Source organism: Homo sapiens, chromosome 3 (assembly GCF_000001405.40).
Source record: "Homo sapiens chromosome 3, GRCh38.p14 Primary Assembly".
In the NCBI taxonomy this organism is placed as follows: Eukaryota; Metazoa; Chordata; class Mammalia; order Primates; family Hominidae; genus Homo; species Homo sapiens.
In genome coordinates, this window is record NC_000003.12 from 27,651,141 (window position 1) to 27,675,415 (window position 24,275).

General features: G+C 41.9%; 2 annotated features.

Annotated features, from left to right (window-relative positions):
• Positions 3,464 to 4,250: an enhancer, noted in NCBI's record as "H3K27ac hESC enhancer chr3:27696095-27696881 (GRCh37/hg19 assembly coordinates)". NCBI's record gives its function as "activates a minimal SCP1, AML or CMV promoter by ChIP-STARR-seq in naive H9 embryonic stem cells {active_cell/tissue: H9 hESC(naive)}" and the evidence as "EXISTENCE:reporter gene assay evidence [ECO:0000049][PMID:30033119]".
• Positions 15,715 to 15,764: a silencer, noted in NCBI's record as "silent region_14152". NCBI's record gives its function as "represses an Ori minimal core promoter by ATAC-STARR-seq in GM12878 lymphoblastoid cells {active_cell/tissue: GM12878}" and the evidence as "EXISTENCE:reporter gene assay evidence [ECO:0000049][PMID:35858748]".

Here is a 24,275-nt window from a genome sequence, read left to right on the forward strand (position 1 = left end):
TTAAAAAACAAAAAACAAAAAAACAAAAAAAACAAAGCAGCTAGTCAAATTACTTGTATATACTAGGGAACAGTCTACAGATGCTGAAAATGTTATGGATGCATATTTATTGACATAGAGCAAATCCAGGACTAATTGTGCTGTCTAAAAGTAATTATTTTTTATTGATGCATAATAATTATACATATTTATGGAGTACATGTGATATTTTGGTACATGTATACAATGTGTAATGATCAAGTCAAGGGCATCAGGATATCCATCACCTCAAACATTTATCATTTCTTTGTGTTAGGAATATTTCAGATCTTCTCTCCTAGCTATTTTGAAATATACAATAAATTATTGTTAACTATAGTCACCCTCTGTGCTAGCTAACACTAAAGCTTATTCCTTGTATCTAATTGTGTGCTTGTTCTCATTAATAAACCTTTCTCCTCCCTCTCCCCGTGAAACACCCTTCCCAGCCTTGGCTGACTGTCCTTCTATTCTCTACCTCCATGAGACCAACTTTTAAGCTCCCACATATGAATGAGGACATGTAATATTTATCCTTCTGTGCCTGGCTTATTTCACTTAACATAATGATCTTCAGTTACATCCATGTTGCTGCAAATGACAGAATTTCACATTTTAATGGCTGAATAGTATTCCATTGTGTATATATATCACATTTTTAAATTCATTCATCTGTTAATGAACACTTAGGTTGATTTTATATCTTGACTATTGTGGGATAGCACTGTAATAAACACGGGGATGCATTATTCCTTTGATATACTGATTTTTCTTTCCTTTGAATAAATACCAAGTAGTAAGATTGCATGGATTACTATCATGTAGTAGTTCTATTTTTAGTTTTTTGAAGAATCTCTATACCGCTTTCTATAACGGTTGTACTAATTTACATTTCCATCAGCAATGTGTATGAATTCCCTTTTCTATGCATCCTCACCAGCATTTATTTTTTGTCTTGTTGATGGCCATTTTAACTGGGGTAAGATGGCATTTCATTGTGGTTTTGTTTTCCCTGATAATTAGTGATATTCAGTATTACAAAAATATACTTGTTGGCCATTTGTTTATCTTCCTTTGAGAATGTCTGTTCAGATCCTTTTCCCACTTTTTAATGGGATTATTTGTTTTTTGGTTTTTGAGGGGTTTTTGTTGTTGTTGTTGAGTTCCTTATATATTCATCTTGTCAGATGAATAGTTTGCAAATTTTTTTCCCATTTTACATCTCTTCACTGTTTTTTCCTTTGCTCTTCAGAGCTTTTTAGTTTTATGTAGAACCATTTGCTTTCTTTTGCTTTTGTTGCCTTTGCTTTTGAAGTCTTAGCCATAAAATCTTTGCCCAGACCAATGTCCTGAAGTATTTTCCCTGTTTTCTTCTAGCAGTTTTATAGTTTTGGGTCTTACATTTAAGTCTTTAATCAATTTTGAGTGGATTTTTGTATATGGTGGGAGATGGGTGTCTAGTTTTATTCTGCATATGAATATCCAGTTTTCCAGCACCATCTATTGAAGAGCGTGCCAGGACTAATTAATTATTGACTGAAAGATAACCAGTTGCAGAACAGCATGTACATTAGGCCTCAAGTTTGTGAAAATGTGTAGCTATATTGCACGTATATTTATGTGTGTGTGTGTGTATATATATATATTTGTATAGAACTATTTGGAAGATGTTAATAAGGTTTTTCTCTTGGTAGTTGGATTTCAGAGAATTTGTACATTTTAAATATTACTATTCTGTGCTTTTTTTTTCAATTATTTTCTTTTTTAACCCTGTATATGAGAATACAAAAATAGTCCCATTTACCACCACAAATCTGTAGTGGCCATGCTTTCAAGGATTTACCAGCCAGTCTTTTCCAAGAATCTCCTGCCTCAGAAATTTCCAGGCTCCCCCGGGGATCACACATCTGTCTTTCAAGGAGTCCTTATTTTACTGCTATGTTGCTTCATATTATAGAGCAAGAAGCCTCACACATGTCCAGGAACCGTCTGCAAATGTCACTTCTCACCTGCCCTGTACCCACTCCCTCCCCACAACCCCCAGAAAGTGACACTCTCATTAAGCTGTGTGCACAGGCTGACCTCAGTTTCTTCAACAGCCACCACCCTAGGGAGCAAAACTAGGCATCAGTTACTGCCACTTCCCTGTGCCCCATCCCCATCCTCTACCAAGGGGGCAGCTCAGCTCCCGGGTGTTCTTTAATGTTGGAAAGTAGATATGAGGGAGATTATGTTCCCTGGCCCCCCAGCCAGCAAATCCAAGCTTCAAATCAAACAGCTATGTCTATGTTGAGAGAGGGTCGATGCCTTACTCTGCTTTGCAGAAGCAGGTGAAAATGGCCTCTGATACATTGGTGATAATTGAGGGGGTGTGAACAGGGGATTGGTCCCAGAACAGTTTGTGATAATATTTTTAGCTGTCGTGTTAAAAACTCATTCATTCATCTGTGTGTGTGTGTGTGTGTGTGTGTGTGTGTGTAGGTGTGTTTAGTGCTACTCAACCACTTTTCCAATCATGAATGGGGGATTTTTTGCAAAAGGCAGGGCCATGGCTCACCCTGTAAATTTATTATGAAAACTATCTGGTAAGTAGATAGACAGAAATACTTATATTTATTTGTGTTGTCTTATCCTTAAAATGTCTGCTTAGCTATGTAGTTAAGATAGGCAGGTCAGCCTTTTAGCTAAGATCCATATTCTGAAACATATTTGCACTATTTGTGAAGCAAAGGTAGGGGCTTTGAGGGAGCATGCTGCACCTCCCATTGCCTTGGAGGCATCAAGATTTACAATTGTAAGGCCATTTCACTCTTCTTGCTTGCCTCAGGCAAATGCAGGTGACTGATGGGGCTAAAGAGAAATGCATTTGCCTGAGAGTCTTCACTTTTGAAGCAATCACCCAGGTCCTCGGTCCTAACACCAAATTTCTGGGGATTCTTGAGCACTGGTTCTTAAACTTGGCTCCGTGTTGTAATCACTCAGGGTATTTTTTTCTTTTGTTTTGTTTTTAAATATTGAGGACTGTGTTCCTCTTCCAGAAAAAATCTGATAAACTGGTCTGGGGTGCACCCTAGTCACCTGGAGTTTTCTAACTCTCCAGTTGACTACAATAGGCAGCAAAGTTTAAGACTCATTGTCTTGCAGATGGGAGTGATAACATGTGCCTGTAGTCCCAGCTACTTGGGAGGCTGAGGTGGAAGGATCACTTGAGCCCAGGAGTTCAAGGCTATAGTGAGCTGTGATTGCATCACTATACTCCAAGCTGGGGCAAGAGTGAGATTCTGCCTCTGAAAAAAAAATTTGCATTACTCTTTTAGAGGGCGCATTGTGGGAGTGGATTGTATTTGGGGGATACATTGGTTTCTCAGAGTTGCCTTTGACTCAACCAAATTAGAAATTTATCTTAAAAAATCCCTATTCAGAGAGACTATAGAAATTAAGAGGATAGCTTCTTATAACCGTGTTGTTCATAACACAGAGGCAGAGAGACCAACAGAGCATAGGGAAAGCCTGCAGCAAAAAAGTGGTAGCTAGGTTGCCCCTCACCTCCTACCAGGTAATCTTAGTGGTACACCTGACAGGGAACAAAGCCAGTGTCACATTCAGGATATCCAAGGCAAAAATGTTCCATGGTACTGTGGAGCTCATTGATAACTTGTACAAAATGGCAGTTGGCTCCAATTATGGTAGAAAACTAATCAGAAAGAATGCCCTCCAAAATAGTTCTCTATGCCTCATGCATTGTTGTAAATACAATCTTCTATTTCTCACAACTGATGCTTCTTATTCCAGTGGGGCTGCATTTAGCCTCAAGATGCTGGGTGGAATACAGGCCAAGAAGCACGCTGTGTAGAAAAGGAAGATCTTTCTTTCTTTCTTTCTTTTTTTTTTTTTGAGACGGAGTTTTGCTCTTGTTGCCCAGGCTGGAGTGCAGTGGCACGATCTCGGCTCACCACAACCTCCGCCTCCCAGGTTCAAGTGATTCTCCTACCTCATCCTCCCAAGTACCTGGGATTACAGGCATGCGCCACCGCACCCGTCTAATGTTTTATTTTTAGTAGAGATGGGGTTTCTCCATGTTGGCCAGGCTGGTCTTGACTCCTGACCTCAGGTGATCCGCCCACCTTGGCCTCTCAAAGTGCTGGGATTACAGGCGTGAGCCACCGCGCCCGGCCCTGGAAGACCTTGCTTTCATCCCATTGGTCAAGAGTCTCCCCACACTACCTCTGCAGCTCTGCCTTCCAGGCAACCAAGGGATTCTAAAGACAATACCTGTAGTTTCTAATTAGCAGACACCACCTTATATCTGAACTTATATTTGACCCATGTCAAAGACTCACATACAGATTTCTAATTGCTGTCATCATTCTAAGGCAGGGAGTCATTTTGTTCCCTTTTCCAAAGCAGTTTCCCAAGGGCCAGGAAGGCCAGGCTTTGACTTTCTCCCCAACAGCTGACCCATCCCTCATCAATTCCAACGGATGCAACAAAATTAGCTTTGCTATAACTTAATCTCATTTCAAGCACCCCGCCCACCACATCCTTAGTAACGTACAACAGTAACATCAGCAATCATGTACAAAGGTTTTCCCAAGCTGGTAGTCTTATGCTAGACACCGTCATAAACACGGAGGCTTCATGTGGGCTTAAATGCAGTTCAAGGGTTATGACCAAGAGAAAAACAAACTTCAAGTCCATCTTCTTTGGAATCAGATGTTACAGTGGAAACAAGGTGCTAGTTAATGGCATTTGGCTCCAAGCAGAAATCCTTGAATATACTCATCCTGGCTACTGGTGCTTTATCTCCTTTTACCTTTTCCTCCCACATTTTCCTTGATGGGACATTAGGAATCAGCAAGTACTTGAAGTTCCCAAGTTTTACCCTTAGAACATCCTCTTAGGCATGGTTCACTTTGCCTGTAAGTCTCTCTCTGGAGATCATTTGTTTTAGGCAGAACTTTTCCTCACAATTCATAGGCAAACTCCACTTGACCCGGTAAGATCGCAGGGGAATCAATTTAGAAGAACAATAAATAATGTTCAAATGTCATGCAATATTTCCCCTATTCCCATAACTGCCTCGTGTTTTTAAAACCTCTCTTGACACCTTCTGTTAAACAGCTTCAGAGAATAAGGCCCTTGGCCATATGTTATTATTTGACAAAGGAATAAGAGTCTTCATTTCTGGCCTAATTCCCTTTTCCTTGACTTGTCTGCTGATTTCTGGCAGAAATGGGGAAGAGGCTTCTTTCTGGGGAGGACATCAAGGCTGGCTGTTAGTAACCGGATTTAAAAGGTGAAAGGGGCCAGGTGCAGTGGCTCACGCCTGTAATCCCAACACTTTGGGAGGCTAAGGCGAGCAGATGACTTGAACTCAGGAGTTTGAGACCAGCCTGGCCAACGTGGTGAAACCCCATTTCTACTAAAAATACAAAAATTAGCCAGGCGTGGTGGTGTGCGCCTGTAGTCCCAGCTACTCGGGAGGCTGAGGCAGGAGAATCACTTGAACCCAGGAGGCGTAGGATGCAGTCAGCTGAGACCATGCCACTCTACTCCAGGCTAGGTGACAGAGTGAGAACCTGTCTCAAAAAAAAAAAAAAAAAAAAAAAAAAAAGAGTGGAAAGATCCAATCCATAAAGGACAGGAGCTATTTCCAGAAAGTGAGACAAGAAGGAGTCTAGGGAGGAGGGGACACAGGATCGTACAGGCCCTCTCTGCTTTAACCAGTTAGTGAAACACTGAGCAGCTGAGGATAAGAAAAGGACAGTACTAATCCTGCTTACCCACCCTCATTCCAGCCTAGGAATTTATTTTTCTTTTCATAGTAGGCCAATACATACAATACAAAGGTAGGTATCCTACCTGAGTGAGTCAGAAGAAACTGGATTTCAAGGCAGTCAGAAGAAACTGGATTTCAAGGCCTTTCAAGAGCCAAGTTCAAGGTTAAAGACTTAATTCTCCAGAATCCAAGTGTGTGTAGGAGACCCTAATCCATCAAAAATATTGGGGGCCACACAGGAGGCAGGGTTAGCTTTCTAACTTTTCCCACAAGACAACTTCAAGCACAAATACAACATTCCTTGCTTTATCACTTAGCACCGTGCTGCCTGGCCAACATGTCACATGTCAGATTTCCTTGGTTCTAAAAGATGATCATGATTTCCAGTTTCCATCCCCTCCTGAGAGGAGGAGGAGAATAGCTGAGTTCAGGTTATTCACATAAACATTGAACAGCTGTGCTGTGCTAGGTATAATTCATCCCACCATATTCATTAAGACTTAGCCAATGACCTCAGGGGTGCCAACCAACTTGAAACGTCACTGGAAGCTCAGAACTCTCATTTGGGTTCTTAGGGTCAACTCATAAAACACAAAACCATAAAAAGTTAGGGCTGGGGCCATCGTCAAGGACATCCAGCCTGCTTTCCTACTAGACTGATGAATAAACAGGCCTAAAGCAATGATGTGAATGGGTGAGCCAGTTTCACAAAGCTGTTGGCATTGCCAGGACATGAATCACGATTTCCTGACTTCTGGACCAGAGGGGTCTACTGCTCTTTGGTTTTCTTCACAGAACATCTAGATTGGCATTAATGACCAGGGTACCTCTTTGCGGTTATGCTGTTCTTGCCCCTCTGAAATGCTCCCTTGCTGTTTTTCTTCATCTCCCTACCTCCTATCATCCTTCAGGATTTAGTTCAAGTGTCATCTCCTTAAGTCTTCTCTGGCTCCTAGTATGAGATAGGGGACTCTGTGCTCGCTACATTCATGGTATTCACAGCATTGCTCCAGAACCCCCAACTAACCTGTAAAGTCTTGGAGAGCAGAGATTATGACCCTGTTGAATTTATACAAAAACCATGCCCAACACAATGCCTGCCATGTTGCACATTCCTTTTTGATGAATTACAGTATGAACAACGTTATTATCAGTGCATTACACTGATGATGTGTAATGTGAGTTAGGTATATGGTGATGCTAAGCTCTACTTTGTGGACCCTCCAGAATCTTGTGGTCTACATAGATGGCAATAACAATAAATTATTTTAAAAACAAAGAAAAAACATACAAATATGTTAAGTGAGGTCCTTGTATTGTGAAAGCTCATTTTCTCCTTTTCCAGATGAGGAAAGGGAAGGGGAAGCCTTGAGTGAGCCAGGGTCATATTATAGCTTAGTGGCAAAAACTGGATTTCAAGTTTCTTATCAGGGATCCATGCTCTTTCACTAAATTTGCTGCCTCATCATCACTTAGAAAAGAAAGTTTTTTGTTTTTTTGAGATGGAGTCTCGCTCTGTCACCCAGGCAGGAGTGCAGTGGCGTGATCTCGGCTCACTGCAAAATTCGACTCCCGGGTTCAAGCAGTTCTCTGCCTCAGCCTCCTGAGTAGCTGGGATTCCAGACACTCACCACCATGCCTGGCTAATTTTTGTGTTTTTAGTAGAGATGGGGTTTCACCATCTTGGCCACGCTGGTCCTGAACTCCTGACCTCATGATCCACCCACCTTGGTCTCCCAAAGTGCTAGGATTATAGGCGTGAGCCACAAGAAAGGTTTTTTTTTGTTTTTTGTTTTCTTTTTTTAAATCAGTAGAGTCTTATCTTCTGTCCTTTAGAAAGGGGCAGAGAAGAATATGGGTTTTACTGATCCTGTACCCAATGTCTTATGGTCTCAGCAGCCAGAGTTAAAGTACAACCAAGCAGCAAAGAGTTCTTAGGCACTTATCACTGAAATCATCAGCTTTGGAGGCAGAAATGGGCCCAAAGACTGCATGGACGTGAAACTCATGAGTCATGCTGTACCCATTAGAGCTATGTTAGGTGATGGGTAGAAAGAAGGGATGTCTTCCCTCCCTGGATGGGACTGGGAGAAACTGTTGGCCTCTCCAGTCCTCTTCCTCTGCATTGACAAACTCTGTCAGGTAACTGGAAAGAAATGTCTGGATTAGGACTAAAGTACTGTGTGAGTACAAATGATTGTTATTAGTAATAAGTATAAATTGCAATTTGTTAGTTACATAGTAGTTAATATTAATAGTTATTAGTATTTATTACTGGAATCTACATCAGACATAGGTGAAGGTGGAGAATAAGGTTTGGAAAGAGCAGTGCTCACTACTAATCTCTGAGGATGGATGGACATCTATTTTTTTTGTCAATTCTGCATCCTGCAGACCTGAACCTGGAAGGCCACTAAATGCCACAGCCCCCTGCTGGCCACACGCTGCAGTGACACCTCAGAACTTCCTGGAACAAAGGCCCACCCATTCCATAATTCCAGAGGTAGACTCAGAATCACAGAGGTGGGAAGAGCCTTAGAGACCATACAATGGAGAAAGAGTAACTTAGTAAATCTCCCATCGCTTATTACAGGCAGAGCCTGAAATAGACACAGCCAGGTGTTCCTGGGGCCCTCTGAAACCAAATGCACAAATACTGATTGAAAGTCCACTGCATGTACCTGCACGTACACTGTTGGGTGATTTCTTTGAGATCAAGATGGCTGTAATAAACAGCTTAAAGGCTTAGAATTTGTCTTTAAAAATTATCATATCCTAACACCCTACTTCCTTTTGTTATTTTTTTCAAAATGTCTTATTTTTTTGCCAAGCAAAATATAATAGAAACCTAACTCTAGTGGTAATAACTTGCATAGCAATATCAGCCACATGAGTACATGTGGGAGCTGGGAAGTGAGTAAAAAAAGTTTTAGGCATTATGTTCAAATACAAGAAACTGTATTTAATTTTCACTCAGGGTTTAAGTATGAAAAACTTCACTATATGATTTTCTGATTTCCAACAGGTCAGAAGAAGGGGAATTAATAGCAAATAAAATGTCTGAACAATTAGCATTAGGCATACTGTCACAGGAAAAGGAGGAATAATGACAAAAATCCTCTTTAAAAAATCAACTCAATAACTAGAATGCAGCAATGCTGGGTTATGAAATGCCCAAGATACCTCCGAGAGGTAACCCTTGAGCAGGGCTGGACTCAGGTTTTGTGGCTTATATAACTTAATAGATCTTTTTAAAGAAAAAGAATACAGGCCAGGTGCGGTGGCATATGCCTGTAATCCTAGCATTTTGGCAGGCCGAGGCTGGTGGATTACCTGAGGTCAGGAGTTCGAGACCAGCCTGGCCAACATGGTGAAACCCCATCTTTACTAAAAATACAATATTAACGGGGCATGGTGGCGCATGCCTGTAGTCCCAGCTACTCAGGAGGCTGAGGCAGAAGAATTGCTTAGGACCCGGGAGGCAGAGGTTGCAGTGAGCCGAGACCATGCCACTGCACCCCAGCCTGGGCAGCAGAGCAAGACTCTGTCTCAAAAACAAAAACAAACAAACAAACAAACAAACAAAACACCAAACCAAAACAAAAAACAAATATATAAATAAAAATTAGGTACAAAAGTGAATATTTATTTATAATGGGAAAATATACACACACCAAATTCCTGGAACTCTGGAGAGTTAGGTCTCTTTCTTCTGCAATCTCTCTGCAATTTACCAGAAACATGTACATGGAAAAAATTCCGTAATGCAGCCTTGTTTCCCCTTGCCACTTAGAACATGCTACACTTTCCTCCTAGAGCCTGCCCTTATGGCGCTGTGCAGACGAGGAGTCACGGTGCTTAAGCTTCATTAGCTTCTCTGTAAAACTGCCTCTACCCAGGGGGACATCAGTCGCCTGCTCCTCAAATGAATGTCTCAAACCCCACGAAAGAGGTAAAATCATATGCACAATATCTCGTTGAGGAAAGCTGGGACATTCCCCACTGCCACACCTGCCTTTTTTTTTTTTCTAATTTAAAAAATTCTTCCAACCTGCTGTAAACACTAAGGGAATTTCCCTTTAAAAATATTCCCATAATGTTTCCCTCAAAAGATGCAGAAATTTTTTCCCTTAAAATTTTTTTGTCTTAAAAATTATCATACAGGGCTGGACGTGGTGGCACATGCCTGTAATCTCAGCATGTTGGGAGGCTGAGATGGATGAATTACCTCAGGTCAGGTCAGGAGACCAGCCTGGCTAACATAGTGAAACACTGTCTCTACTAAAAATACAAAAATTAGCCAGGTGTGGAGGTGCAACACCTCTAGTCCCAGCTACTTGGGAGGCTGAGGCAGGAGAATCGCTTGAACCTGTGAGGTGGAGGTTGCAGTGTGTTGAGATCGAACAACTGCACTCTAGCTTGGGTGACAGAGCGACACTCTATCTCAAAAAAAAAATTATCATAAGTAAAATTGATTAGGGGTGGTATACAGTTCTGAGAATTTTCACACTGGTATATGTTTGTGTAAACACCACCATCATCAGCATATAAGTTAGATATATCACTTGCAAGACATTTTTCATGCAAAAATGTACAAATTTTAAAATAATATTAAAAGCGGTAATTTTTGTTAGCTGTGACATTCATTATTATGGAATACTTCGTTCCCCCAAACGATGTTCCACAGAGGAGCTACTCTAACAGGAATCCACTAGACGAAGTGCAGGTGCACTTCAGGAACCACTGTGTAGATGATATTCTAGACTTTTTTCCCCACTTGGTCAAAGTTCAGCCTCTCCTTTTTAACTTAGCCTTTCTCAGTTCTGTGTGTGTGTGTGTATGTGTGTGTGTGTGTGTGTGTAAGACAGAGAGAGAGAGAGAGAGATATGCTTTGGGTATGTCCCCACCCAAATCTCATCTTGAATTGTAGTTCCCATCATCCTGATGTGTCCTTGGAGCAACCCGGTGGGAGGTAATTGAATCACTGGGGTGGTGACCCTCATGCCGTTCTGTGATAGTGATTTCTTATGAGATCTGATGGTTTTTAAGGGACTTTCCCCTTCCTTCACTCATACTTCTCCTTGCTGCCACCGTGTGAAAAAGGATGTGTTTTCTTCCCCTCCACCATGACTGTAAGTTTCCTGAGGCCTCTCCAGCCATACTGAACTGTGAGTCAATTAAACCTCTTTCCTTTATAAAGTACCCAGTCTCTGGCAGTTCTTTATAGCAGTGTGGGAACAGACTAACATAGTGTGTGTGTTTTGTATGTTTGATTTATAACTTTCTTCTGAAGATGGTATCTTAAAAAATTCTGTGTTCTCCAAGAAAATCAAACCAGGAACTCCAAGTCTGGCCACAGAAAGAGAATGTCCAGATGAGAACATCTGTAGACAGCCAACCAACCTTGACTGTGCCTTCCTTTGCCAGGTCACCTTTGGTGTTGTCTCACTTGAACACTGCCTTACTGTCACCACAGTGGCCTCAAGGCACTCTGATCCCTCTGTGTCATTTGGACCCAACTGTAAAAATCCAATTCTCATGGACTTCCTAATTATGCTAAAAAGGGTATAGTTAATATCAAAGAAAACCAAATAGGAAAAATATGTAAGTAAAAAAAAAAAAAAAAAGCAGAAACTATACAGTTTCTGCTCCAACAGCTTGTGGGTTTCATCCCCTAGGTTAGGTTGCTGCACCCCAAATCCAAAGAATCCTGCCTATACCAATGCAGCAACAATATAGTAGGGAGTTAGGAATTTGGGTTCTGAAGGGAAATTACTCACATTCAAATCCCTACTCTACTGCTTACTCACTGTGTATCCCTGGAAATGTTACTTAACCTCTCTTTGCCTCAGCTTTTTCATCTGTAAAAAGGGATATTAATAGGATCTATTTCAGATGTTGTTGTAAGGAATATGTAAGCTAATACCTGACAACCATTTAAGATGAAGCCTCACACATGGTTAGTATGTGATAGATGGTAGCTATTATTTTTACCTGGGGACACTGATCTCAGTTGAAGTTCTAAAGGATGTTTGTGTTCCTCAAGTAACTACAATAGAGATAATCTTATTCTCTAAGTGAGACTCCTCCACCCCTGCCGACTCCATCACATCTATTACAGGAGGTGGGCTTCTCCCCAGCATAACTCCTATCAACACATTCTGATAATAATACTGTAGCCACAAAGCAGCTGTAACATCGAAATTAGATTTAGAGAAGCCGTACCAAGACAACTGTTCTCCCTTAGATTTCTATGTCTCTTGTCCTTTTTTGATAGGGATTTGCACAATTGCTCCTAATCGGCACCATTCATCTATTATAGCAAGTTCCTTTTGAACTTCACCACAGAGCATGTTTCCCATCTCTTAGACTGAAAAGAACATGGAAATTTTTTCTGGCCAATGTTATCTAGCCAGAGCTGTCTAGCAACCATGGACTTGGGCACAACTTAAGAACAAGGGGGGCTGTGCATTGTGGCTTATGCAAGCAATCCCAGCACTTTGGGAGGCCGAGGCGGGCAGATCACTTGAGGTCAGGAGTTCAAGACCAGCCTGGCCAACATGGTGAAACCCCATCTCTACTAAAAATAATACAAAAATTAGCCAGGCATGGTGGCACATGCCTGTAATCCCAGCTACTGAAGAGGCTGAGGGAGGAGAATCGCTTGAACCCGGGAGGCGGAAGTTGCAGTGAGCCGAGATCGCACCATTGCACCCAGCCTGGGCGACAGAGCAAGACTCTGCCTCAAAAAAAAAAAAGGAAAAAAGGGAACCCCCAACCCCCAAATGCATCTCTCTGTAGCCTATAAAATAGATGCCATAAAGTTCTGAGCTGCCGGTGAACCCACTGTCTGCTGGAGGTAACGACTGGAAATGACAAGGCTTTCATATGTCCTTTCCTTAAAACAAGAAGGTCTGACATCTGCAAAAGAGAGTCCTACCAATAAATATATAAATAAAAAGAATTCTGTTGTTTTTTTCTGGTGCCATAAACCCTTCATGGACACTGGAAACAATTTTTGACAATGTACTAATTTCACAGGAATGAGATTATGGAGGATGTGTGATTTTCCCTCCATTTTCCCAGAATTGCGACTCAAGGGTCATCTCTAAGAACAAAACCAATGGCAGCCCAGAATCTGCCTCCTAGGATCTGCAGAGGCTGGGCCCAGCTGCCTCACCACAGGGCTTCATGAGAAGGGCCGGGCTCGTCAAAGGGCCAGCAAAATGTTCTCCACCCTCCCACACACCCTAGTCCACACGAGAGGGGCCTGAGGAGAGGCACCTTTGGAGGAGGGGACATGATGCATTTGTGAAGTTATTTTGCCTCCTCTTTTCACAACTCAAAACCCAAGTGTGGGAGGGCATCAGAGAATCACCCTGATGTTTGGGGCCCACTGACATCGTGTTCTCTTCATAGCCACCAGGCACTCAGGCCTGCTGGTGTGCTGTGTTAAAAGAAAAACTTCAGCCGAATTAAATTTACTGGAGTTTAATTGAGCAATGAACGATTTGTGAATTGGGCGGCCCCCAGAATCACAGCAGATTCAGAGAGACTCCAGGGGTGCCTTGTGGTCAGGATAAATTTATAGACGAGAAAAGGGATGAGGAACACACGTCCAAGTGAAGAAGAGATGGCCAGGGCCAGAAGATGATTCTGTGTTACGGCCATGTCTAAGACCACAACGGCATGGGCAGAGGATGCTGCCATAAGCTGGAATGCGGCCAGACAAAGTGGCTGAATTTTCAAAGGGGTCACTCATGGAGAACTGCTTGGGGTGGCCTCTTGTCATCTTGGCCTATGGGAACTTACAGATAAGAGCTAGGTCAGGGGATTACAACTCTGCCTTGGGCAATTGCCATTCTGCCATGTCCCATTCACCGTTGGCTCCCGGCCAGTAGATTCTCAAGTCTAGTATATGGAAGATGGTAAGGAGTCAAGATGGTTGAGGAGAAGGAATCATTTGAACAAGAAACGAGACTGAAGTGTTAAATGAACAAGACTGGCCTGGCGTGGTGGCTCTCACCTGTAATCCCAGCACTTTGGAGGCCAAGGCAGGCAGATCACCTGAGGTCAGGAGTTCAAGACCAGACTGGCCAATATGGTGACACCCCATCTGTACTAAAACTACAAAAATTAGCTGGGCGTGGTGGCGGGTGACTGTAATCCCAGCTACTTGGGAGGCTGAGGCTGGAGAATCGCTTGAACCCACGAGGCGGAGGTTGCAGTGAGTGGAGACTGCGCCATTGCACTCCAGCCTGGGTGATGGAGCGAAACTCCATCTCAAAAAAATAAAGTAAAATAAAAATAAACAAATGAACAGGACTGAGTTTTAAAACCAAATGAGTCATTTTTCAAATGAAAGGAAAGGCTATATTGTTAGATGAGGACTCAACCTGGCGGAGTCAGTGGAAATTATGGGGCAAATATGTTATTATAAGATTCTTCAACATACCAGGTACATTCTGGTTCCAATCTCATTTACCAAAAGGATAGATGATAATTTCTAATAAAATCACAGCCCCGCCAGGCACAGTAGCTCATGCCTGTAATCCCAGCACTTTGGAAGGCTGAGACGGGAGGATCACTTGAGTCCAGGAGTTCGAGACTAGCCTGGGGAACAAAGCAACACTTTGTCTCCAATACAATTTTAAAGTTAGCTGTGTGTGGTGGTGTGGCTGCAGTCCCAGCTACTCAGGAGGCTGAAGTGAGAGGATTGCTTGAACCCAGGAGGTCAAGGCTGCAGTGAGCTGAGATCATGCCACTGCATTCCAGCCTGGGTGACAGATTAAGACCCTGTCTCAAAAAAAAAAAAAAAAATTCACAGGTCCAAAATGGCTAAAAAAAGGTATATTGTAATATTCCTAATAAAATATTACATTTTATTGTATTTTTATTACATATTTTATTACATGCTTGTAATAAAATATATTGTAATAAGACCTGCTGAATAAGGAAAATAGTATTTGGGGCCGGGCACGGTGGCTCACGCCTGTCATCCCAGCACTTTGGGAGGCCAAGGTGGGCAGATCACCTGAAGTCAGGAGTTCGAGACCAGCCTGGCCAACATGGTGACACCCAGTCTCTACTAAAATATACAAAAAAATTAGCCAGGCGTGGTGGCGTGCACCTATAATTCTAGCTACTTAGGGGGCTGAGGCAGGAGAATCGCTTGAAGCCGGGAGGCGGAGGTTGCAGTGAGCCGAGATCATGCCACTGCACTCCAGCCTGGGCAACAGAGAGAGACTCTGTCTCAAAAAATAAAATAAAATAAATATAAAAAACCAGGAAAAAAAAGAAAAAAGGAAACTAGTATTTGGAACATAATATGTAGCTCAGAACTTCCAGCAATTATATGATGTCCACTGTCCATTAGTAGAAAAAATAAGCCACAGTTCATGAAGAAACAGAAGCTTTTCCTGGTACTGAGTTCTCAGAATCTATCACTAGACTCTTACTTATTGTAATGAAGTCTCCCACAGCTGTTTTTACAGGAAATGCAAACTTGTCTCCCATGTGACTTTGGCGAAAGACCCAGTAAACAACAACAGTCCTGAAAGCACAAAGCTACAGGAATAAGTCCTCCCAGCCCTATCCTCTACTCAAGGTCTGAATGCAACACACCTGTGGCTTGTTTCTGGCTCAACAATAATCTTTTCCTCACAAAGCAGCTCTTAAGCACTAAGCAGGGCTTCCTGTCACTAATCCCCAAAACATTTCTATGGGATAAAAACAGGAGACCAAGGGTAGACTCCTGCTAATTTAGAAACATTTTAAAAGATGGCTTGGGTTCAGTCTGCTCATTCCTCCCTGCCTCTACCACCACAAACCTAAAGAAAACAAAATTCCTACAGAAAAGCAAACTGTAAAACTCACAACCGCAGCATGAAATGAGGAAGCAATGGGGTGCAGCACAAACTGTAATGTGGAAATGCTACACAGCGTCTCTCTGCTGCCTCCCACCAGCCAGGGCCGGGCTGGGAGCCAGGTCTGAGAAATAGTAGCACATGCTGCCACTCTTTTTGTGGATGGTTGCCATGGCAACCTGCCTCTGTTCAAATGCTGAGCATCTTTCAGCAGTCTCATCCTTATGCTCTTCTGGCCTGGAAGGGAAGTATTAGAAAGAAGGTAGTATGGGGGGGTTGGGGGAATACCAATGAGGGTATATGAAACAAATAGATTGTTGGAGGATCAGGTAAGATGCCTCCCGTTATACTGGAAGTCTCAAGAAAGGGGTGGAAGATGGGTGGGCTCTCGATGTAGGTCCCACCCTATTTTCTGCAGCAATTTCAGTCATTCATTCATTTACCCACTTGCTCATTCTTACATTAAACTAATTTTATGGAGCACCAATCATACTCCAGGCATTATACTGGGCATTGGAGGTTTAATGATGAAAAAGATACCATCCCCCCCCCCCCCACAGGGAGCTCACAGTTCACATGGGAGATAGGAGATACACACACACACATGCGTGCACACACACACACTCAATTAATCATGATATAATGTTATAAGTGCAGAAATAGACATACATAAAAAATATTACAGACTTGAAAAACCAAGTGCAATTAATTCTTAGAGTTGAGTGTAAGGAGCTGATAAGAGAAAACTGCATAGAAAGGTTAATACTTGAGTAGGGTCTTGAAGGAGTTTGTTAAATGGAAAAAAAAATTGTCCAGACAGGGCACAACACAAACACTTGTGGTATGTTCCACATGGGATGTATCAAACAACCACCAATAATAACAGCACTTGCAGAGTGCTCAGCTACTGTTCTGTGTGCTTTATATGTATTATCTCAGCTAACCCTCACAGTGACTCTGTAGAGGAGGTATTGCTGTGCCATTTTACAGAGGCACAGATAAGTAAAATAACTTGCCTAAAGTTACACTGGTATTTGATATTGGGTGGGAGAACCAGGCTTCTGGCTCCAAAGTTCATGTGCTTAATCTCAGCCTTATGCTTATCCCATTGTTCTGGGAAGGCAAGGTCACAGGATATACATGGGGAAAGAGGAGAAACAACAGTTGAGACTGCTGGGAAACAAAGATGAGGGGTAAATTATCATGCCCTCAAATGCCATTTTAAAAAATCTGAAATTTGTGTTTTGGTCATGAGAAGCCATGATGGTGTTACAATGAAAATGGTATTATTATGGTGATTCTGGAATTCACGTGTAGGATAGAATGGAGGAGAAACAGACTGACGATTTCAACAGCAGGAACAGGAAGAGAAAGGAAGGGGAAGATCGCATGTAGTTTAAAACAAGGCAAGGCCCGTGTCATTTGGTTCATCACAGAGCCTGGTATACCACAGGCATTCAATAAATATTGGTTAAATAAATGTTTCAAAGTTGTCTTATTTGGCTTTACCTGAAAGCAAATTCTGAAATAAAAGTTCCCATATGAGAGTTTATTTAGGAAGTGTGGGGAATACCAGCAGATTAGAGAAGTAAGACAGGGAAGGAAAGGCAGCCAATAAAGGCCGGGCACTGTGGCTCATGCCTGTAATCCCAGCACTTTGGGAGGATGAGGCAAGTGGATTGTTTGAACCCAGGAGTTTGAGAGCAGGACGAAATGATTAAACTTTTTCTCTACAAAAATACAAAAATTAGCTGGCTGTGGTGGTGCATGCCTGTAGTCCCAGCTACTCAGGAGGCTGGGTGGGAGGATTGCTTAAGCCTAGGAGGCGAAATTTGCAGTTAGCCAATATCGTGCCACTACACTCCAGCCAGGGTGACAGAGTGAGACCCTGTCTCAAAAAACAAACAAACAAAAAACCCCAGAAAACAAAAAGGAGGTATAGAGACAGCTTAGTGTTTGAGTTATTTGAACATGTCTGTGATTGACTGATCCCTGGCTGCTGTCACTGGCTGAGACTCAGCTATTTGTTATAAAAGTATATTTCTAAGTTAAGCTTTCAGTTAGTTTAAATACTAAGTTGGTTGCAGTTTGTTCAGTAAGGAGTCAAGTACTGAGGCATCTTCAGGCCAAATTTAGTTTAATTTAACCATTGGGGGAATGTGTTCTTAGTGGTGAGAAGTTGGTGTTTTAGACTCTTGGATTTTATTATTTGGGTGAACTCCAGAAAACTTCCCAAATATTATGGGTGGCTTTTGTAGAAGGTTAATTATATTATTCAACGTTGAAAGCTGAAACTCCATCAAGTAATATTTATAACAAAGATTGAGTAGAAAAGACGGAGGAAGGAGAAGGAAGAGGAAGAGAAAAAAGTGAAGGGAGAAAGAAGGGGAGAGAAAGACTACTACTAAAATCGGCATCACAGGTCCCAAAGCCAGCTCTTGTATCTGAATGTGCAAAACTTGACTAGTGTCTAAAGTTTCTAAACAGTGAGAATGAGATATTAACACGCGATTTGTTTTTCTGGCTAATCATGAAGTTCTCATCTGAAGAAAAATTTCTACTCATTCCCACCTCCCCTCCCACCCTACTCATCTCAGCATCTTTCCCACCTTCCCACCCCACTGAGATCTTGTCTACCCAAGATTTTCTGTTTCTTATCACAATTGCATTCTATGAAGGTAGGTCTTCCTCTATTTCCCAATTTGAACAGATAAAAAGTAATGATTCCTAAACTTGCAATGCAACTGTGTCTGCCCCAGGGAAGGATCAAAGGAAATTAGCCCACAGAGTCTGTTCTGTTATACAAAAACCATGGGTTTTTGTTCCAAAGCGTGACTCTAGGGGTACCGCAGAGACTGATGCCATGGCTATGTGGTTAGAGCATGAGTAAGTACCTCAGAAAGCATGATGTCATCAATGCACTTTTCAAGCCTTAAGACAACCTTGCAGGTATAGCCCCCATGTCTAACTTGTCAGAACTTTATCAATGGCAGAATGGCATAGAAGGAAGCAGGTGGCTAACCTGTTGCCTGGAGTCACATGGGAGCTTCAGAGACCTGCTGAAAGGAGAACTGTCTTAGCATTGCTCCCTTAGTCATTGCATGCCTCTTTTGGCAAACCTTGAAATTCCCTCTAGTAACCTTATAAGGAACTGAAAATTATAGCCAACATCTAAACACAAGTGGATGTATTTAACAAGTGAATATCGTATTCAAACCTGTCAAAACAAAGATAACTGAAAATCATGTGAACACCACAGTGTGAATAAAAATTCACCCACTTTCGGCCGGGCACAGTGGCTCATGCCTGTAATCCCAGCACTTTGGGAGGCTGAGGCGGGCGGATCACGAGGTCAGGAGATCGAGACCATCCCGACTAACACAGTGAAACCCTGTCTCTACTAAAAATACAAAAAATTAGCCGGGCATGGTGGCGGGTCCCAGCTACACAGGAGGCTGAGGCAGGAGAATGGCATGAACCCGGGACGTGGAGCTTGCAGTGAGCTGAGACTGCACCACTGCACTCCAGCCCGGGCGACAGAGCGAGACTCTGTCTCAAAAAACAAAAACAAAAAATTCACCCACTTTCAAGACATGTCACTTTCCAGACATTGCCTCATTGACTCTTTCACCTCAAGAGAGAGGAGAGTTATGGCAAGCTATGAATATTTCTTGTCCCTGGACAGAATGGGAAAAGTATGGAAATCTTGCCTTTTGAAAAGCATAGCAGGATTATTAAAAACATCAAGAACCACCAAACTAAGGTGAATGCAAAAAGAAAGAAGCAGTTATTGTGAGACCACAGGTATCTTTTGAGAGTAGACAGTGAGAAACAGTCTTTTACAGAGCAGAGTATCAAATGAAGCTCATTAGGCCTGGCAAGGCACATTAAAGAGACATTCAGACCAGGCACTGACTCACTGAAGGCAGCTCAGGTGTGGTCCAGGGTACTAGGTTCTCCCTGAGGTTGTGACTACCAATTAGATGGTGATGGAAGGTATGGTGAGCTATCTGTCAATGTCTTCAAAGGCCTCTGGAGCAAAGCCACAGTGTTCTAACCAGGTGCACACAGAGAATATTTTTCTGATCCACAGCCAGAACATGGTGTAGGCCTGAAAGATAACCTGTGACTGAGCAAGTCAAACTGTTGCAAATGGGTGAGTACTATGATCTCCCTAGATGAGTAAGTGCTCTACCACTACTATTTATTTATACTTCAATTCCAACAATTAGCAAAAAGATAAAAGAAATTGGGAAGACAATATAGAATATGGTTAAGAAGGCCGAGTATGGTGGCTCACACCTGTAATTCCATCACTCTAGGAAGCTGAGGTGGGTGGATCGCTTGAGCTTAGGAGTTCAAGACCAGTCTGGGCAACATAGCAAAATCTCATCTCTACAAAAAATAAAAAAATTAGCCAGGCATGGTGGCACGTGCCTGTAGTCCCAGCTACTCCAGAGGATGAGGTGGGAGGATCGCTTGAGCCTGGGAGTTCAAGGCTGCAGTGAGCCGTGATTGCGTGCCTGGGTGACAGAGCAAGTCTTTGTTAAAAAAAAAAAGAGAAGAAGAAGAAGAAGGTGGTTAAATTCGGACTGCCTGAGTCTGAATCCAAGGCTCTGTCACTTATTAACATTAAATCATGGGCAAATAATGATTCTAGGCCTCAACTTCCTCATTCACAAAATTGGGATTTTTCAGGGTTTTGGTAATGATTAAATATGGGAACAGACGCAAAGAACTTAATACAATACGTCTCAGTAAATGGGAACTATTATCATTATATTAATAAAACATATATCTGAAAGAGTAAAACTGATGTGGAAATTGAAAATTAAATACAGAGGTGTGTGTTTTGGGAGGAGGTGGTAAATGCTAGTTATTTTATTAGCCCTAGTTAGGCAAATATGATTACTTTGATTGGACGTTATATTTAGCTTTGAGTTTCCTAAAATCTAAGGAAAAATAAAAATCATTATAGACCAAATTATTCTCATTTTGTTATTAAACACAACATTAATATACAGTTAATTCTCAATCAACTTTTGTGGAATGCCAGAATAATTGCTGCTCAATAGAATTCCCTCAGCCAGTTGTCTTACTTTTCTACTTGCCTCTTTTTTTCAACTTTAACCTTAAGACATTTTGAAAATTAATAAAATTCAGGAATCCACTAATACCTGTGCCTTCCCATTGTTCAAGTACTTAGCTTTAGTTTTATTTTATTTTTTGCTTTTTATAGAAGTCTTAATGGCTAGTTTCCTTTATTTTAACTTAAATAAACACGAAATCAAAAGCATTCTTCCTTGAGACTTCCAGAATGGTGAAATAAAAAGTCTCTCTCTGGCAAAACAATTTAACTTGTGAAAATAATTTTTAAAAAATCATTTAACTTTGGGAGGCTGAGGTGAGAGAATTGCTTGACTCAGAGTTCAAGACCAGCCTGGGCGACAAAGTGAGACCCCATCTCTACAAAAATTAAAATTAGCTGGGCATGGTGGTGCATGCCTCTAGTCCCAACTACTTGGGAGGCTGAGGCAGGAGGATCTCTTGGGCCCAGGTGGTAGAGGCTGCAGTGAGCTATGATTGTACCACTGCATTTCAGCCTGGGCGACAGAGCAAGATCCTGTCTCAAAAATAACAGCAGCAACAACAATAACCATTTAAAGTCTCTGAAAATTGGCTGGGCGCGGTGGCTCACACTTGTAATCCCAGCACTTTGGGAGGCCGAGGCCCGCGGATCACGAGGTCAGGAGATCGAGACCACAGTGCAACCCCGTCTCTACTAAAAATACAAAAAATTAGCCAGGCGTGGTGGCGGGCCCCTGTAGTCCCAGCGACTCAGGAGGCTGAGGCAGGAGAATGGCGTGAACCTGGGAGGCGGAGCTTGCAGTGAGCTGAGATCACGCCACTGCACTCCAGCCTGGGTGACAGAGCGAGACTCCATCTCAAAAAAAAAAATAATAATAAAAATAAAAATGAAAAATAAAATAAAATAAAGTCTCTGAAAATTGTCTCAAGAACATATAGCAAATGAAGAAAACTCACTCAAGAAAGTCAACTGGGAATCTCAGTAAGAGTGTCTGTGGCATTTCAGCCATGGCCTGGCCTGCTAACCTTTCCTGCAGTGCCATGTTACCAAAGCTCTACCCTGAAAGTGCTGCTCCTGGCAGGCACAGATAATGAGATAGGGGCTCCCTTGTCCGTCAGCTCCCATTCTGGGCAATGGTCTCACTCTAAGAGAGGTGGACTGCCAACATTTCTCAAATATATACATTTTATCCTGTTAGTCTGCCTGCTGTAAATTTATTTCATAGTCTCAGTTATTTTTTATTATTATTTTGAAACAGGGTCTTGCTCTGTCACTCAGGCTGGAGTGCAGTGGTATAATCATGGCTCACTGTGGTCCTGAGTTCATGAGTTCAAGTGATCCTCCTGCCACAGCCTACTGAGTAGCTGGGACAACAGGCATGTGCCACCACATCCGGTTAGTTTTTTTATTTTTAATTTTATTTTTATAGAGACAGGGCCTCACTATGTTGCCCAGGCTAGTCTTGAACTCTTGGGCTCAACTGATCTTCCTGCCTCAGCCTCTCAGAGTGCTGGGATTACAGGCATGAGCCACTGTGCCTAGCCAGTCTCAACTATTGAACCCTCAGAGGAGAGAGGGAAATTATTAAAAACTTTGAGAAGAAGGAAAAGAAAAACAGGACAAAACATATGTTATGTAGCTAAAGCAGTGCTCCAAGATAAAATTATAGCTGTAAATGCCTATATTAACAAAGAAGAAAGATCACAAATCAATCACCTAAACCTCTACCTTAAGAAACTAGAAAAAAAGAGCAAACAACCCAAAGTAAACAGAAGGAAATAATGATTAGAGGAGAATAAGTGAAATAGGGAATAGAAAAACAGTAGAGAAAACCAACTGATATGGTTTGGCTTTGTGTCCCCACCCAATCTCACCTTGAAATGTAATCCCTGGGTGTTGGAGAAGGAACTGGGGGGAGGTGATTGGATCATGGGGGCGGTTTCCCCCCTGCTGTTCTAGTGATAGTGAGTGAGTTCTCATGAGATCTGATGGTTTTATAAGTGTTTGGCCAGTTCCTCTTTTGCTTGCTTCTTCTTCCTGCTGCCTTGTGGAGAAGGTGCTTGCTTCCCATTTGCCTTCTGGCATGATTGTAAATTTCCTGAGGCCTCCCCAGCCATGCAGAATGGTGAGTCAATTAAACCTCCCTTGTCTATAAATTACCGAGTCTTGGGTAGTATCTTTATAGCAGTGTGAGAATGGACTAATACACCAACAAAGCCAGAAGTTGGTTCTTTGTAATGATCAACAAAATTGACAAATCTTCAGCTGGACCGAACAAGAAAAAAAAAAGAAGACTCAATTTATTAAGATCAAGAATGAAGGGGTAGACATACCACCAACCTTACATAAATGACAAGGATTATCAGGACTATAAGGGAATATTATGCCAACAAATTAGAAAAGATATGTGCAATGACTTTGCTTATAATGGAAAAAGATCAGAAGCCATCCCTATGTCCATAAATTGGGGACAGACTAGATGCATACGTAAAAATATCAATAGACCTACATGATATACTGTTGAATTTTAAAAAGCAAGTTGTAGATAAATATGTTTAGTATAGTATCTTTTTTTTTTTTTGAGATGGAGTTTTTCTCTGTCATCCAGGCTTCAGTGCAGTGGCATGATCTTGGCTCACTGCAGCCTCCACCTCCAGGGTTCAAGCAATTCTCCTGCCTCAGTCTCCTGAGTAGGTGGGAATACAGACGCCTACCACCATGCCTGGCCAATTTTGTATTTTTAGTAGACGCAAGGTTTCACCATGTTGGCCAGGCTGGTCTTGAACTCCTGGCCTCAAGTGATCCGCGTGCTTTGGCCTCCCAAAGTGCTGGAATTATGGGCGTGAGCCACTGCACCTGAACCAGTATAATATCTTTTATGTAAATATACACTGAGTGATATTCTGAAGTTTCTATGGGTAGGTGTAGGGGTGTGTGTGTGTGTGCGTGCATGCACATGCACGTATAGGGAAGGACGTGCACCACAACTAATAACCGAGTTTACCAGGGAGAAGGTGGTGAAACACCAGGGCTGGGAGTTAGGGGTGGGGGAAAAAGGAGGAAAATTGTAGCTTTATTTATAATGGTTCATATTTTTTGAAGGAAAATATATTTATGAATAGTTTGTGAAATTTGAATTGTTTTTTAAGAAAATAATAGCTTAATAAATGGTGTCAAAATCTTTGATTCATTTAGGAAATTACAAATTTGGTGGTTTTACATAGATATGGCCTTGGATAAAAATGAACATTAAAAACATTTTTCTGCATTTGCTTATACATATCAGTATATCTGCCACTGTCAGGTCTAAATGAAAAAGGCTTTAAAAACAATATTATATGAAAAATAAAGATTAAACACAAAAGATAAAAATAAATGCTAACAAACATAAGGCTCATTTGAACCCTGACATAGTTCTGAATCTCTAAAATATCTATTACTTCATTAAAGACTCAAATGTAATGTCTAGAGAAACAAATTGCCTTATAGTTTAAAACAACAGACCAGTGAATTTGCCTAGTTT